Here is a 16,682-nt window from a genome sequence, read left to right on the forward strand (position 1 = left end):
CCAAAGAATGTTTGTTTGCTAGTTTCTTAGACTCAGAAAAATAGAAGCACGTGTACTTGAATCTATGTTGTATGGTAGTTTTGCTTTCACAATCATCAAACAGGAGTCTAAGCCCACCCTGGTCCTCTGGCTTTCTACTAAGGCACAGGCAGCACCAGCTTTTCCATAACAACAACCTCAAACCCAAACTGACTAATTATCTACTGTGTGCCATGCACTGTGCTAGTGTTTTGCGTGATTATCTCGTTTGATTCCTTACCTTAACTCTAACAAGGGATCCTATTTTTTACATGTCTTTTATTATTATTGTTGTTGTTATTTTGAGTAGGACTCTCACTGTGTTGGCCAGGCTGGAGGGCAGTGGTGCAATCATAGAGCTCACTGCAGCCTCAAGCTTGTGGGCTCAAGGAATTCTCCTGCCTCAGCCTCCTAAGTAGCTGGGGCTACAGGTCTGCACCAACATGCGCAGTTAATTTTTTAATTTTGTGTGTGTGTGTGTGTGTGTAGATGGGTTCTTACTGTGTTGCCCAGACTGGTCTCAAGCTCCTGAACTCAAGTGATCCTTCCACTTTGGCCTCCCAAAGTGTGGGATTATGGGCGTGAGCCACCGCGCCACTGTGCCCGGCTTAATATGTCTTTTATTTTTAAAAAATGCTGGTAAAATACACGTAACATAAAATGTGTCATCGGTGATATTTAATGCAACCGCCATCACTGTCCAGTTTCAGAACATTTTTATTACTTCAAAAGGAACCCCATATCCATTAAGCTGTCCCTCTCCATTCTGTCCTCTCCTTAGCCTCTGGCAATTGCTACAGAACAAAGACATGGAGAGGTTAAGTGGCCTGCTTTAGACCCACATTACTGAGTGGCAAAACTAGTATTTGAGGCTGGGAAGTCTGCTACCCTAGTGCAGAACACTTAACTGTTAAGGTAATTAGCTCCCCATTAGAAAGACCTTTCCCCCACCATCCAGTTCACAGGAGGCAGGGGCTTGTTTCTAGCTAACACAAAAGATGATTTTCTCTGAGGCCTCATTACGGGATGCCAAGCATTCCCACCAGTGGGCAGCCTGTGGCACCTAGAAGGTCCGCTCCTTCCACTTGCTTTCCTTACACCCAGCCCAGTGGGAAGGAGGGTGTCACTTCAGCAGTGGGGGCAGATGGGTCTTCAGATCCCACAGGATGCCCCCACACTGTGCTGGTCATCCAACTCATTGTCAGGTCAGCAGGGGTGCCTGCTGGCACCCAGAGCTTTTGCCTGGGGCGGAAATGTGGCTGTCTGACTTTTCTTAGTTTTCATCCTTGTCTTAAAGGTAGGATGAGTCTCCCAAGGTGGGATAGAATGCTGGGAGAGAAGTGAACTTTGGGATTTTGGTAAAATTCTCTGCACAAATAACTCCCAGAGAGAAGGGTAATCTGCTACCCCACTCATCTTTACTCTTTGAAAAATTTAGGATCCCAATCCCAGAAGAGAAGCTTTTTGTGAATTCTCCTAATGCAATCGTTGTGCTTACTGAGGCTGCTTGGAGAGACTGTCACTCAGGTTGCATTGCACCTTAAAGACATAGGATTTCTTGTCTTAACAACAGGTATGCACAAACATTTTTTTTATAAAGGACCAGAGAGTAACACTTTTAAGCTTTGTGGGCCATCTGGTCTCTGTCACAACTACTCAGCTCTGCCATTTTAGTGTGAAAGCAGTCACAGACAATACATAAACACATGGGGGTAACTGTGTTCTAATAAAACTTTATTTACCAAAACAGATGGTTGGCTGAATCTGGCCTATGGGCCATAGTTTGAGAGCCCTGTCCTAGACTCCAGCTGATGGCCTTTTCTGTGATGTGTGGAATCTCCCCCAAGCATTCTGTTGATTCCTGGAACTATGGCTCCTTTGCTCTCTCTGCTGCTTCCCAGCTTGTGAATTTGCATTCATGGTCATCTCTGTTTTCAGGCCATCATAACACAGAATCAACAGCCTTATGGTGTTGCCCCAGAGGATTCAATGTGTCAAGTGGCATTTTCGAACTGTGTAGAAGACTTCTCTGCAGCTTCTGTGGAGGGAAACAGGGAAGGAGGTTTATATCTTGTAGCCCCCAGCAAATGCCACGCAAAATTCCCGCATAATCTTGTTTTCCCAGGATTCTTTCTCAGCAGCCTTGGAAGTGGGATAGTTGGGGTTGGTGTGCCCATTGAATTCCCCCAACCAAGTACTCAAACTTGCTGATCCTCCCTTCTTTCCTTCTGGGACTTCTTAGGAGGAAGTCTATAAAATCTCTTGTCTTTAATATGCAAAAAGGTTTTCTTGCCTCTTCTAGTAAAAACACATAGTGGGCAGAGACGGTGAGTAAGGGTCCAGTTCTAATTCAAACCCTAAGCTCTTAGTTTGCATTCTCCACAATAAAGGCAGTAGTCTCTCTAAAGGAAATTCTCACTGATACTTTTTCTCCTCCCCACGTCATCATAGAGACATGGCATGGCCTTTGTTCTAAGGAACTTCAAGTCTAATAGGGGATAATGAATGTTCCATGTAGAGCAGATACAAAACAGTGGACTGAGTCCATAATGCTGTGTTGGAGTACAGACAAATGCGCGGTGAAATCTTGCTGAAAGACTGCATGGAGGAGGAGGCATCTGAATTGAGTCTTAAGGGGTTCATGTCACACAGGTGAAGCACACTGACTTCACGTGTTTGAAGAGTTGTCTGGGAGATAGGTTACCAATTTAGTTTCTACAGTATCAGAGATAGAAAAATTCATCCATCCCTTCTACCATCCTTCTGTCCATCCATCTGTTCATCCACCCATCCACCCAACCACCCATCCATCTAATTATCCAGTCATCTAACTATCCATCCAGCCAGCCAGCCAGACAGCTAGCCAGCCAGCCTTTCTAAAAATACTTATTTAACACCTGTGTGTGCCATGGAGTAAGCCAAATGACAGGGAGAGAAAGGTAAATGAGGCCATCTCCAAAGGAGTTCAGAGAAAGGTGGTAGATAGGTATGTTAGACAATTCATTTATAAGCTGAATAGTTAAGTGCAATTTTGAGTATTTGTGAGAACGATGAGAGGGAACAGTTAATACTATTGGAAACTGCTCTTGGAGGAGTCAAGCCTGAATGATCAGAAAGACACTAAAAGATGTAAAGCAGGTAAAAAGGAAGAAAGATCAGGGCTGATTTTGGAGAGCACGGAGTAAAGTTTCATAAACCAGGTAAGAGCTTAGGAGATGACAGACATGTGGTGGTATAAGAGATGAAGGAGGGGCGGGGCGCGGTGGCTCACGGCTATAATCCCCGCATTTTGGGACGCCAAGGCAGGCAGATCACGACTTCAGAAGATCGAGACCATCCTGGCTAACACGGTGAAACCCCGTCTCTACTAAAAATACAAAAAAATTAGCTGGGCACAGTGGCGGGCGCCAGTAGTCCCAGCTACTCTGAAGGCTGAGGCAGGAGAATGGCATCAACCCGGGAGGCGGAGCTTGCAGTGAGCCGAGATAGCACCACTGCACTCCAGCCCGGGCGACAGAGCAAGACTCTGTCTCGTTAAAATAAATAAATAAATAAAAATAAAAATAAAAAAAATCATCAGGAGATGAGGAGATGGACTGGGAAATAAGACAGAGGCCCAAACACTAAGACCACCATGACCTACTGGACTGCATCCTTTAGAAGCCCTAAGGGGATCCTAAAGTTTAGAATTCTAAATAAACATTTTATTTTAGAATACTTTTACATTTACAGAAAAGTTGTAAAGACAGTCCAGAGAGTTCCCATCTACCCAGCGTCTAGTTTGCCCTCTTGTTAACATTTTTTTTTTTTTTCTTTCCTGAGATTGAGCCTCGCTGGATCAGCCAGGCTGGAGTGCAGTGGTGTGATCTCTGCTCACTGCAACCTCTGCCTCCCAGACTCAAGTGATTCTCTAGCCTCAGCCTCCTGGGTAGATGGGATTACAGACATGCACCACCACACTGGGCTAATTTTTGTATTTTTAGTAGAGATGGGGTTTCACCGTGTTGGTGAGGCCGGTCTTGAACTGTTGACCTTCAGTGATCCGCCTGCCTTGGCCTCCCAAAGTGCTGTCTTGTTCACATTTTGCATTTATCATATTTTACATATGGTACGTTTATCACAACTAATGAACCAATATTGATACATTATTGTTAACTAATGTCTACATTTTATTCAGATTTCCTTAGTTTTTACCTCGTTCTTTTCTGTTCCAGGATGTCACATTACAATTAATTGCCATGTCTTCTTCTCCCCTTCTGGTCTGTGACTGTTTCTTAGACTCTGCTTGTATTTAACGACCTTGTCTTTTTTGGAGTACTAAGCAGGTGTTTTGTAGTGTGTCCCTCCACTGAGGAGTTTGTCTGATGGTGAGACTGGAGTTATGGGTTACGGAGAGGAAGACCACAGAGACAGCGTGCCATTTGTATCACACCATGTCAGTGGTACATATTATGAAAATGACTTATCGCTGTTGATGTTCACCTTGGTCATCTGGCTGAGGCAGTGCCTGTCTCATTTTTCCTCTCTTTGCATACTGTGCTCTTTGGAAGGAAATCACTATGAGCAGTTGACACTTACGGGTGAGGTGTTTGTTAGGCTTCACCTCCTTGAAGCAGCAGCATCTACATCCATGAGGCTTTTCAGCAGGACCTGGGTAAAGGACCATCAGGTGGAAAATGCAAGATGAACTATTGCAAGCCACATTGAAGGAGAATTTGGCTCACTACCAGGAACATTGCCTGCCCCCGAAGCTATTTAGCTGTAGGTTTTGGCCTTCAGGTGGGCTTAGTTGCAGGGCTAAATAATTTTCTTTAAAGAGCTTCATCATCCAGGCAAACATCACAGCCACAGTGCCAGATCCTGTGTCAAAGAAATTAAAGGCTCATTCCTCCATGCACTAAGTTGTGTCATAACTGTAGGAGTTGGCCTGCTGGGGTATGTGTGTGTGTGTTTTCCCATGGAAATGACCAAAGCAGGCAGCACTTGTTGAAGTACGTCAACATTACTGCAGCACGTCATTCCTTTTATGACATAGCGACCTCTTTTCTTTTCTCTGCGCTGTGATCTTCAGTTAATTTTTAGGGAGGGTGGGGCATGAAAGCTCCCTGAACATCGTGAGAATTTCTTTCCACAGATGCAAACAACTCTGTTATGGAGAGTGTAACTCAAGATAGCCTTTTTGGAGGACAGATTGGAAGTACATTTCCAGTTCTCACATTCCTCTCTTTTGACCGAGGAATTTATATTTTTTCAGTAGAAGTCATTCTATTCTTATTGTTTTTGTTTTTATTTTTCTATTTGACAATGAATCGTGAGCATCTTTCCTATGGGTGGATGTTTATGTTATTTCCGGTTGGTTTTCCCATCCTCTTTCATTGTATGCCAAATTACTGTGGTAGGCAAACTTGGACAAACGTGTTTGAACACATATAGTGCGTGTCATATATTTTGTAATAACTGGAATTTCCTGTTCAAAGGTTGGGGATGTGTGAAATTTGGACAGTGTCCATCAGATCACTGTCAAACACAGGTGGAGACATGTGTCTTCACAACCCAGTGCAACAGCATGGCGTTATGCCTCATCCATCCAACAACTCTAGGGGGCAGGCATAAGTAGTCCCATTTTAAAGATGCATAAACTGAGGCTCCATGAGGTTAAAGGATTGGCGCTGGGTTAACTCTTTCTTTGCTATCAGGCATTTGCGGAGGATCACTCAGGAACCTTTGAGGATGAGATGTCCTGAGCTCCAGCTCCTGGTGTCTGACCTCCCATCTCAGTGAAATAGCTAGAAAATTATTTGGTCTCCTTGCTGAGATTTTCTTAACATATTTTAAAATCTCAGCCTGGTGCAGTGGCTCATACCTGCAATCCCAGCACTTTGGGAGACCAAGGCAGGCGGATCATCCTAAGTTAGGAGTTTGAGACCAGCCTGGCAAATATGGCGAAGCCCCATCACTACTAAAAATACAAAAAAATAAATAAATAAATAAAAATAGCTGGTCATGGTGATACGCGCCTGTAATCCGAGCTACTCAGGAAGCTGAGGTAGGAGAATCTCTTAAACCCAGGAGGTGGAGATTGCAGTAAGCCAAGATCACACCACTGCACTCCAGCCTGGGTGACAGAGCGAGACTCTGTCTCAAAAAATCTCCTGACACCAGAAAGCCACAGAGCAGAAGCATCACAGGGCTCTCTGATTTGCCATAGGATCGTTTAATCTGTTTTATGATACTGTGCTAGTAGAATTTTCCAAGTTCACAATCACAAACAAACATACTATCCTCAACTGTGCTAGAATTAAATTATCTTTGCCCCCCCCCCCTTTCTGTTATATTAAATTAGTATCCTTCTTCTCCAAACAGGCAGCTCCCACTTTGAGGGTGGGGGAGGAGTACTTGTCCATCAAACATGGGGAAAATGACTCCTACTTCCATCGCACAGTGAATCATAGGCTCTCCCATGTCAGATTCTGTGGAAAGGATGTTAATAGAGACAAAAGGACACTGTTGGCGCGTTATTAATGTTAAAAATTGTTGACGTTCCATGCAGTGTGTTTTTCTAATTAGAGCCAAGCTGCAGAGTACCATTTCCATAATCAACATGGGAACGGAAACTCAGCAAAATTTCATGTATTTGCAATGAAACTGCTCCCCGGCAACATAAAAATGGCTTTTATAACATAAAGGCTGTAATTAGAATAAGTCAAATCAGTTGGAAACGATTAAGGCCGGAGTAGGCAAAGCTGCCTTCTAAATATTTGTCTGGAGATTAGCCTACTCCTGCAGCTCTGAGAAGCATCTTTGATTTACTTATACTGCTCGACGTGGCAAAGATAATCTTGTGGAAGGCAAACGAATACAGATTTAGATGTGCTGGTCGGCCCCTTCTGCAACTTGACAGGAGGCAGTCCATTGGAAGCAAAGTCAGAAAAAAAAAATGAATATAGGGTCATATTAGACAAATTGCTTAAAAAAAAAAAAAGCACACCGCGATCATCAATTTAAATTCTTTTAAAATGTGCTAGGTCTTTGAAGCTTTTAGGATGCACTTTAGAAGTCCACGTGGAATAATCCCTGCATGTCAGTGCGACAGTTGATGTGCGTCTCATTGTATTTAAAATTATAGTTCTGAGATGGGACTTGCTCCGCGATGCTTGTCTGACATCAGCTATTAAAATACAAGTAAATCTTGGCAGGTGGGAATTTAAAAAAGAAAAGATTATATAAGAAAAATCAGAATGGTTAATGTTAATTTACTAACCAGGGTACAGTGGCTACAGAGAGTTCTTCATGTCCTCTCTCTATTAAGATGCTGATGCGAGAAACACCTTATGTTTGCCAGGGATGGGGATGGAGATTGTAAAGTGGATGTGAGGGGGTAAAGAGTGCTACTTTGGATGTCAGTCCATGGTTTGGGTCCTCTGGGGCCACGGTGAGCATGATGGTGAGACAGGTTCATTTTATTAAATTCAGATTAGCCGTTTTGCCCTGTCCTGGGAGGGCAGAAGAAGGTAATCAAGGAGAGATGGCGGGACAATAACTGCTCTGGGGATCAGACTGGAACATCCACGGACTCCAGCCTTCCTTTAGAAGGGCGTAATTCGTCCTCACAGACTCCTCACTCATTTGTAAACCTCTCTGAATCCCAAACTTGTGTGCGTGTCTGCATTTAGCCATTGAAAATATAATCAGGCTAATGCATTCTCTTACTGAATTTTAAACCAGCCCATTAAAACTCCTTTAACGTGCTAAAGTCGGCTTCAGAGAGGGTTTCCATTTCATCTTTATTGAGCTGAGGCTATGGTTCATTCTCCCTTTGCACCACAGTGAGCGCCTGTCAATAATTCAATAGCGTAGCCTTGATGGGCCCAGGCCCAACCTAGACTTTCAACCACGCCAAGCAGCTTGTCAAAGCCTGATGCTCTGTCAATGGCTGAGTGATCTATACTGCATGAATCCCCCCCTTCAGCTCTTGATGTGTCCCTGGGAATAAAAAGAAAGCCATTTCAGAAGTCAGCCCAGTGAGAAGCACCTGTATGTAGAGAATCTTTAATGAGGGCAGGTCGCGCTGTGGTGGAGCAGAGTTCAGCGGAAACCACCGCACTTTGTTTTGTTGAGCCAACGCAGAGTCTCTCTGTGCACTCTCAGTGTGCACAGAGGAGCATGGTCCTCGCGCTGGCAAATGGATGCCCTTGTCCTTCTGCTTAAGTCTTCTTTACGCAGGCCTTCGCGCTGTGTCGTCTTCACCATTGCAGGAGGCCTTGAACTCAGAAAATCCAGTGCAAGGAGCAAAACATCTGAATCATATGATCATGCCCCAGTGGCTCTTCTTCAGGTGCCAGTGACGGTGATTTGAACCTTCATGTCCCTCTTTTCATGGAACGTCATGAGTCTGTACTGGCTAAAGAGTGCTGTGAAAGGCAGATTAAAAAAAAAAAAAAATCCAGCCTCACCTTTCTTTCTGGGTGGAGGAAAAGGCATCCATTCACTTTAAGAAGAAAACAAATCATTTGTATTCTTCTTGTCTGGACACAATTTTTAACCCAGAATTATCCACCTAGTTCCTCCCATCTCCAGGCCTTGTAAGTCGATAGGAGATTTGCAAATATCTCCCTTAAAGAAAGGCAACGAGGAGAGCATTTAATCCATGCTTTAAATGCAAAATGTCTTGAGTCCCAACGCTGCTCAGTTTTTCCTGAAGATAAATTTTAGCTGGATTAAATAACTGTTTTAAAGGCACTATTCATGCAAGTGCTGTCTCATTTGTGACTGTATCTGCATTGCTAATGGATGTGTCTTTTCCTCATGCATATTCTTTCCTGAGCATCTACCGCCAAATTTACAGATTGCTTGCTTGTCAAATTGGGATGGGGTTTGAGGAAGAGGTGACAATGATCTAGGTGGAAAAGAGAAGTGCCAGTGTGTTCAAAGCTAATAGAAAATTGTTGCTTTGTATTAGCAGTCAAGGCTCCAGGTTTCCTGAACCACAAAACAACCAAATCTTTTCTTTCTTTTTTTTTTTTTTTTTTTTGAGACAGGGTCTCATTCTGTCACTCAGGCTGCAGTGCAGTGGTGAGATCACAGCTCACAGCAGCCTCCATCTCCCGGGTTCAGGTGATCCTCCCACCTCAGCCCCTCAAGTTGCTGGGGTTTTGCCGTGTCGCCTAGGCTGGTCTCGAACTCCTGGGCTCAAGAGACCTGCCTGCCTCAGCCTCCCAAACTGCTAGGATTACAGATGTGAGACACTGTGTCTGGCCCCAAATGTTTTATGGTAACATAAATTCATGCCACTGTGGCCTGCTGGTCTTCCCAATTAAACAGCAGAGAGTTTGTTATCCCAGCCACAGCATATTAGGGTGGAGCCAGGTAGGTATGTGAACTAACACTGTGAAAAAACAAGATTGTTTTTAAGGTAAGCTTTCGAGGAGGGGGAAAGGAGGTAGAAAATGAATATGGTGATTTCAGAGAAGAAAATCTCTCCCAAGCCTATGTCCCTTTGTATGTCCACAACCCCAGTTAATGATGGGTATGGCTTATGAAGGCACTGAGAGCCCAAGGAATGTGGCCAGCATTAGGCGGCATTTGAGCTGGGTCAGTGAATCCTCAGGCGTATAGGCAATTAGGACTTAGAGATCCTGTTGTGATTTTCATACTTTTAATCTGGAGAGTTGCTTAATGAATTTATTAATTCATTTATTTTTAGCCTCACAGGTTTTGCTCCAAGACTCAGGTGAATGAGTAACACAGTACTGATAAAGTTGAGCTTTTCTGTTTAGGGCTGGGGAGGAGGGAAGAAGGAAAGGAAATGAAACCCAGGGCTTTGCATCTTCCTCTTCAACTTCATCCCTTCCTCTCTATTCCTCACATTTAGCAGCCCTCAAGGGGGCTACAAGGAATTTTTCAGGGTCCAGCGTGGCCTAATATGCCAACTTCTGATATAGTACAGCTCAATTAGCCTGGCATGGTTGTGCACAAATGTAGTCCTAGCTGCTTTGGAGGCAGAGGTGAGAGGATCAGTTAAGCCCGCCCAGAGTTTGACGTTGCGCTGAGCTAGGATCATGCCACTGTGCTTCAGCATGGGTGACAGAGGACCCATTTCTTAAAAACCAAAGAAAAAAAAAAGACAGCTGTTATTTTCCTAAGATATCCTCTTTAAAGAGAAATGGAACAAGTGACCTGCCTTCCTCTATATGAGGTGGGGCTCACACCAGGGTTCTCCTGCTCACCATTGGCCCAGGAAACTCAGGAAATTAATGCTGCATGCGCATGACTTGGCGATTCGACCTCTGAAAGCTCTGCAAGGCTAGGAATTTATGCTTTAAGAACAATCAGCATCAAAGGCCTTGGCAGTGGTGGAGCTGTTAGCATATTAGTTCCATTTGAGATGGTGAAATGCCTTGGAAACTAAAAACCCTACCTAATAAAGTTTATTTTCAAAGGATTAGAGGTAGAGTTTTGCTCTGAGAGATGATGTTGCCTAAGCCTCCCATTACAGAAGAGCAGAGATGGGACTCTAGGGATTCATGGATGTGCCAGCGTCACTGGGTAGTGGTAAAAACTAAAACTGGTATCTGTTTCTCTCCTACTATAATATCTTTTTCACGTCAGGGCTTGTAAACCTGAAATCTACACTTTAGTTTCACCCATATGATTTGTTTTTGCTTTTTTCCCCCCTGTTATTAGCTGCCAACATTTAGATATGTAAAGATTACATTTAAAATCGAAATTTTTGGCTTCTTGCAAAAAAATCAGACGATCTGGCATATTGAGCAACATCCGCACACTTCACCCACCAGCTGGAGCTCTGTAGCACCTGCACACCTCAGTGTGGAGATGAGCTTTCCACTCCCAGGTCAACACAGACCCTCTTACTCAGGACTCACCTTCGCCCAGCCTGCTTCACGATCCACTGGCTGTCACAGGCATTTGCCTCCGTAGTGCTCTCCTCCCACCCTTCCACAAATAAACGTGCCCAGAGATGCTGGCAGCCTGGAAGCTTTGCATCTGCATTGGGGCTGCCCGTTCTTTGCTGCCATGCCTGAAGATTTCAGTAGCTCTTTGTCAGCACAAATGAGCTTTTCCCCTAGTTCATGGGGAGAATGGGATCCTGGCACATAGCAGAAAACATCTGGTAATGAATCCATTAGGCAGGCTGTTGCTCAGCCTCCAGGTGCCCAGGGGTCTGAGTGCTGGGCTGAACATGATGCATGAACGGGACCCCAGAGATTTTACCTTTTGGCCTTCGTTCTGCCAGAGCTCCGGCTTGGTCCTAAGGGGTCTCCTGACTACTCCAATGCCAGGTGTTCTCCCCAGCCATCCCCAAGCGAGAAGCTGGCCAGCCTTCTGGATTCCCTCCTCTGCCTTCTCCAGCAGCAGTCCGTCTCCCAGCACAGCCTTCCTTAGGCACACAAAGGAGAAGACAGAGATCATTTTTGGCAGACGTAAGGAGCAGCATTTGTCGAACTCTGGGCCCTGCAACTCTGTGAACAGACCTGCATGCTGTACAAAATTATTAGAAGCCCTGTGTCTCAGGGCTCAAGGAGGTTGGGCAGGGAGGTGAGAGTGAATAAAAATGAGGAGGCCGCAAACTGCTTTTGCCCAAGGGCTGGTTTTAATGAGCTTGTCCCTAATGAGTTGTCCCTGCAACTAGCTTCAGGCCTAAACAGATGAGGCAGGGATTCTGCTAAATTTTTGATAGGATTTGCACTGGTTTTATGAGAAAGCAAGCAGTAGAGAGTGCAAAGTTGGGTCATGAATCTTTTACGAGGGTGGATGGTTGTCCGTCTTGTCAACCGGAACGAGAAAGACCTGGTTGCTAATAGAAACCATGGCCTCAGACGTCGATCGTCACCCACCAGATCAGCTAATTTGGTCAGGGTGGCTGGGTGATTTGTTTTTTTTCTGATTCAGGACCTGGCCTATGGCCCCTGAGAAGGATTTATCTGAAAACTCCATCAAGGAGATGATTTGAGCCATTGCCTGTTCCTGACTAATGATCTTTTGTGGAACTCAAGCCATATTGGGGATTTATACCTTTCTCCCATAGTGCACTGGGAAGGAAACACCATCAAACACTTTAATTAACATCCTTTTTACTTTGGGCAGCCCCATTCGTATCAAAACCACAAACCTTACCCTTCAGTTGCACGAGAACACTCTTACCAAGGATAAAATGTGATTTTCGATTCCTATGGAGATGTTTCTAATGTTTCTAACACCCGTCAATTCTAGGATCGCGTGGTACAGGAGATTTCATGTACTACCACCTTTTTTTTAAATATTAAAAGCTGCCAACAAATGCATTTCTCCAGTTTGATTCATATACCAAAAGGCAATTTTCTTGGTGGCTTAGAAGGTTACAGAAAATGCTTGATCAGCAGCCTTTACTGTGCTGAGTGAATTCCTACCCCATCCCCCTCCTGTCTCACACACTCTCTTTCACATTAATCATGTAATTGATTTAATAAGCTCTGGCTTCAAGAGCTCCCCCTCCCCTCTTTCTTTGCCCCCTCCCCCTCTCTTATAAGATTTCAGTTCAGCGTTTGACTGGTAGGCTAAGAACCTTGAATCCTGCCAGATATGAACCCAACAACCTTGTTGGTGTAATAAGTATCCTCATCTTATATTTCTGTGGCTCCTTGAAACATAATTTTTAAGCCATTTCATTAATAGAGTTCAATGTAATAATGTAAAAAAGTGCAGCGTATTTCTATATATGTCTGTAGATGTAGACTTCTGTATATATCTACTTTTCACAAACTTGAAATCATTTCACATGTGTTGTCTTATTCAAACCTCTCTAAACCGAAAACTTTGAGAGTTGCCCAGAAGAGATCCGTTGCTCCTATTTTATACATTACAAAACCGAAGTACAGACAGATGAACTATTTTAAGACCTTGAGGCTAATTAGGGATGCACGTGGCGTGAAAATTTTGGGCGTCTGAACTTCCTACAATAGGGCACTACTGATTCTGTATTCCTTTGTTGCCTGAGGCATTCCTTTCTCTGGGAGAAACCAAAGCTGTACATATTTATCTTCAAGAGAAACTTCCACTTTGCCTATGAAGAAATAGTTAGAATTGTTTTCTGTGGTTGCCTCAAGTTAGAGGTGCTAATATACATGGAAGTTAAACAAGACCACACATGTGCAAAACTCTTGATGAATCACGTTATTATACTAAACCAACGTTATACTAAACCAACATTAGCTAGGGTTATTAGTTCAGATTATAGTTATGCAGGTCTTCCGTGTTAAGTCTCATGTAAATATCTTCTGGAGCTTACATGTGTAGTTATCTATGTTCTAACCTGTTTCCTAATGGGTCATCCAGAAAACGTGGGTGTGGTCTGGCTGGAACAGAGTCCCTAGGATTGTGTCAGAGTCATTGTCGTAAGATATACCTATTCAGAAGTTAGTTATCTAGATGTTAGAGTCTAGAGATGGGGCTTCAATGAGGGATGTCAATGGCAGTATGGGGAAAAGAGAACAGAGTTGAAGACTGAACAGCCTAGGGGGAGAGCAGAAAGCAAAGGCAGCTTTATAAATAATAAAGATGTTCTGCAAAAATTCCTCTGACTGGGTTCTGATTGGCTTGGGTAGCCTTTTTTTTTGAGACAGGGTTTTGCTGTGTCTCCCAAGCTAGACTGCAGTGGCATGATCCTAGCTCACTGCAGCCTCAACCTCCCAGGCTCAAGTGATCCTTCTACCTTTGTCTCCCAAGTAGCTGTACCATAGGTGCACACCACCACACCTGGCTAATTTTTACATTATTTGTAGAGGTGAGGGCTCCCTACGTTGCCCAGGCTGGTCCTGAACCCCTGGGCTCAAGTGATCCTCCCACCTCAGCCTTCCAAAGTGTTGGGGTTACAGGCATAAGCCACCGTGCCCCACTGACATTTTACTCTTAATCCTGGCCTGTATTTAAAGGGTCTGGGTGAATGCAGATAGATAGACAGTTACTACGCGTAACAGCTTACCATGAATTCTAAGTCTCAACAAATCCGTAATCATGGTGTGTCATATGAAGAACATGTTCTAACTCTTATTGCTGAGCCTGACTTTGAAGTGTTTGTTTTTTTTTTTCTTCTTTTTTTCTTTTGGGAATAAGAAAAAGCAACGTTCTTGACTGCCCGGAAAAATACTGTCTTGTCAGCTGGGGATGCTTGGTGCTGATGAGGAATGTGGTACAGGGTGGGGATAGTCCCTTTTAAAGGGCTCAGCATGTGCCTGGGCAGTTAGCAAGGATTAAACAAAGGAAAGTTGGTAATATTACTGCTAGTATGAGTATGAGTAAAATGAACAGTGGAAAGAAATTAATAATAGGAAATTAGTGATACTATGTGTTTAATATGCATAGAGCCTCTGTAATCTTAGCTTCTGAACAATAGCACTCCCCGCTACTCCTCTCTTAATCTGGAGGCCCATGGGTCTCCAGTACCCTTATGCACCAGCTCCATTTGAGGAAATGAAAGTAGGAATCACAATATTTGCCCTGGATCTGCATAACTAGGACAAGCTTTTGAAAGTGGAAGAGGCCCATAAATGAACTTCTCAAAATGCACTTGATACAGCATCAAATAGGAGTGACAGGTCCATAAATCAAGGGATTGGGGTCATTTGATTCAAATGTAAATTGTCCCCTGCCCAGAAAACTCATTGCCATGAAACCCTGCACAGAATCCAGAGAACATTTTCTTCTGGTCTCTTAGAAATTCAAAATACAAGATCTACATGGTACCACAGTTTTTGTTGCTGTTACTGTTGTTGTTGTGTGGTTTTTGTTGTTGTTGTTTTTGTTTTGTCTTTTCACGCGGGTGACGTTTGGAGATGCCCAAAGACTGATATCCCAAAAGTACCTAATCTACAACAACAAATATTTATAGAACCTTTATCTCAATATTTGCTCATTGAAGTGGGTTAATAAATGTCTGTTGAATGCTCTCAATTGGATGGTGAGTATTTTCCATTTTAGTTTAGCTGTGAAGCTTCGCTTTCCCTCCTATGCCTTTTGTTTTCTTGCCTAAAGAAGCCCATTTCAAGAGTCGGGGATCTTCTCTTTCTAATCTCAGCCTGCCCAACAATTTGTAGCATGGTCTTGCTACAGCCGCTTTGCTCCCCTGCTACTCCATCTTGTCTGAGATCTGGGTTAACTGGGACTTAACTCCTTGTCAAAGATGCTGTGTGAAATGACTAATTAACACCAGAGAAGGAAAGAGCATTGTCATTGACAAATAGGGCTTTTAATAACCAGCAGTTCTCCTGGTTATTAAAGTTGGCTCTTGAGTCTCCCCAGACCCATGCGAATTGACAGGAAGGAGGATATTTTAGTTCCTTCTATGATTGAGTTGCTTGTCACTTGAGTTTGTAATCTCAGGAGTCACTTTATCCATGTTGTCCCAGGAATGAAAATGGTGTGAATCTAATTTCAGAAGTTGAGGAGAAGTAGAACAAGGAGGCCATGATTTTCTAGTATAACTAGACAATTATTTTCAGCAAGTTCTCCCTCACTGTTGTGGGGTGAGTGCTCACATTTGCCTGCCGCTGAGCTATGTTTTAATGAGGTTGGAAGAAGCAAGAAGGTTGGGAAGATTGATGTTAATTGCATTTCTACCATACACTAAGCAGTGAGCAGATTTAGGATGACTAGTGTCCTATAGTTCTCTTTCAAGATCAGATCAAGCTTCCTGAACCACATGAGCCTGTCTTCTCTTTACACCAGCAGCCTCAGTAACTCCCTGTTGGGCAACCCCATAGAGCAAACACCAGAAACCCCAGAATTTTTCTCTTACTAAAGAAGACCCTCCACTGTCAACTTAAGCTCACGTTTTCCTATTTCTCAAGCCAAGGTAGGTCTAGGTATTTTTTTTTTTTTTTTTTTTTTTTTTTTTTTTGAGACAGTGTCTCACTCTGTCACCCAGGCTGCAGTGCAGGAGTGTGATCTCGGCTCACTGCAAACTCCACCTCCTGGGTTCACAGCATTCTCCTGTCTCAGCCTCCCAAGTAGCTGGGACTACAGGTGCCCGCCACCACACCTGGCTAATATTTTGTATTTTTAGTAGAGAATGGGTTTCACCATGTTAGCCAGGATGGTCTTGATCTCATGACCTTGTGATCTACCCGCCTTAGCCTCCCAAAGTGCTGGGATTACAGGCGTGAGCCACTGTCCTCGGCCTCAAGGTAGGTCTGGGTTTTATGAGATGTGACACTTACAGAATTTGGGAGCCCTCCGTAAGAAAAACATTCACACTTTGGGAGGCCAAGGCTGGCAGATTAATTGAGGTCAGGAGTTCGAGACCAGCCTGGCCAACATGGGGAAACCCCCATCTCTACTAAAAATACAAAAATTAGCCAGCTGTGGTGGCACACACCTGTTATCCTAGCTACTTGGGAGGCTGAGGCAGAAGAATTGCTTGAGCCTGGGAGACGGAGGTTGCAGTGAGCTGAGATCATGCCACTGCACTCCAGGCTGGCCAACCGAGTGAGTCTATCTCAAAAAAAAAAAAAAAAAAAAGAGAGATTCCAATGAGATTCAAAATTACTAGTGCAGAGTTGCAGAGTTAGGGGTAGCATAAAAACACATTGCCTGAAGTGATGGTCTCTGAAGCCTAAGCCCAGTCACCTTCTCATTATCCATTTCTGTTCCCAGTTGAAACTTTGCAGTAA

At 43.8% G+C, this 16,682-nt stretch overlaps 1 protein-coding gene across 47 annotated transcripts in view, besides 1 other annotated feature; it reads left to right on the forward strand.

The window, feature by feature from the left end:
* The window catches only part of RBFOX1 (RNA binding fox-1 homolog 1), a 2,473,620-nt gene that overhangs the window by 2,191,200 nt on the left and 265,738 nt on the right, over positions 1-16,682 (forward strand). The window lies entirely within an intron of this gene.
* Positions 711-1,367: an enhancer, noted in NCBI's record as "NANOG hESC enhancer chr16:7481632-7482288 (GRCh37/hg19 assembly coordinates)". NCBI's record gives its function as "activates a minimal SCP1, AML or CMV promoter by ChIP-STARR-seq in naive H9 embryonic stem cells {active_cell/tissue: H9 hESC(naive)}" and the evidence as "EXISTENCE:reporter gene assay evidence [ECO:0000049][PMID:30033119]".

Source organism: Homo sapiens, chromosome 16 (assembly GCF_000001405.40).
Source record: "Homo sapiens chromosome 16, GRCh38.p14 Primary Assembly".
Taxonomy (NCBI): Eukaryota; Metazoa; Chordata; class Mammalia; order Primates; family Hominidae; genus Homo; species Homo sapiens.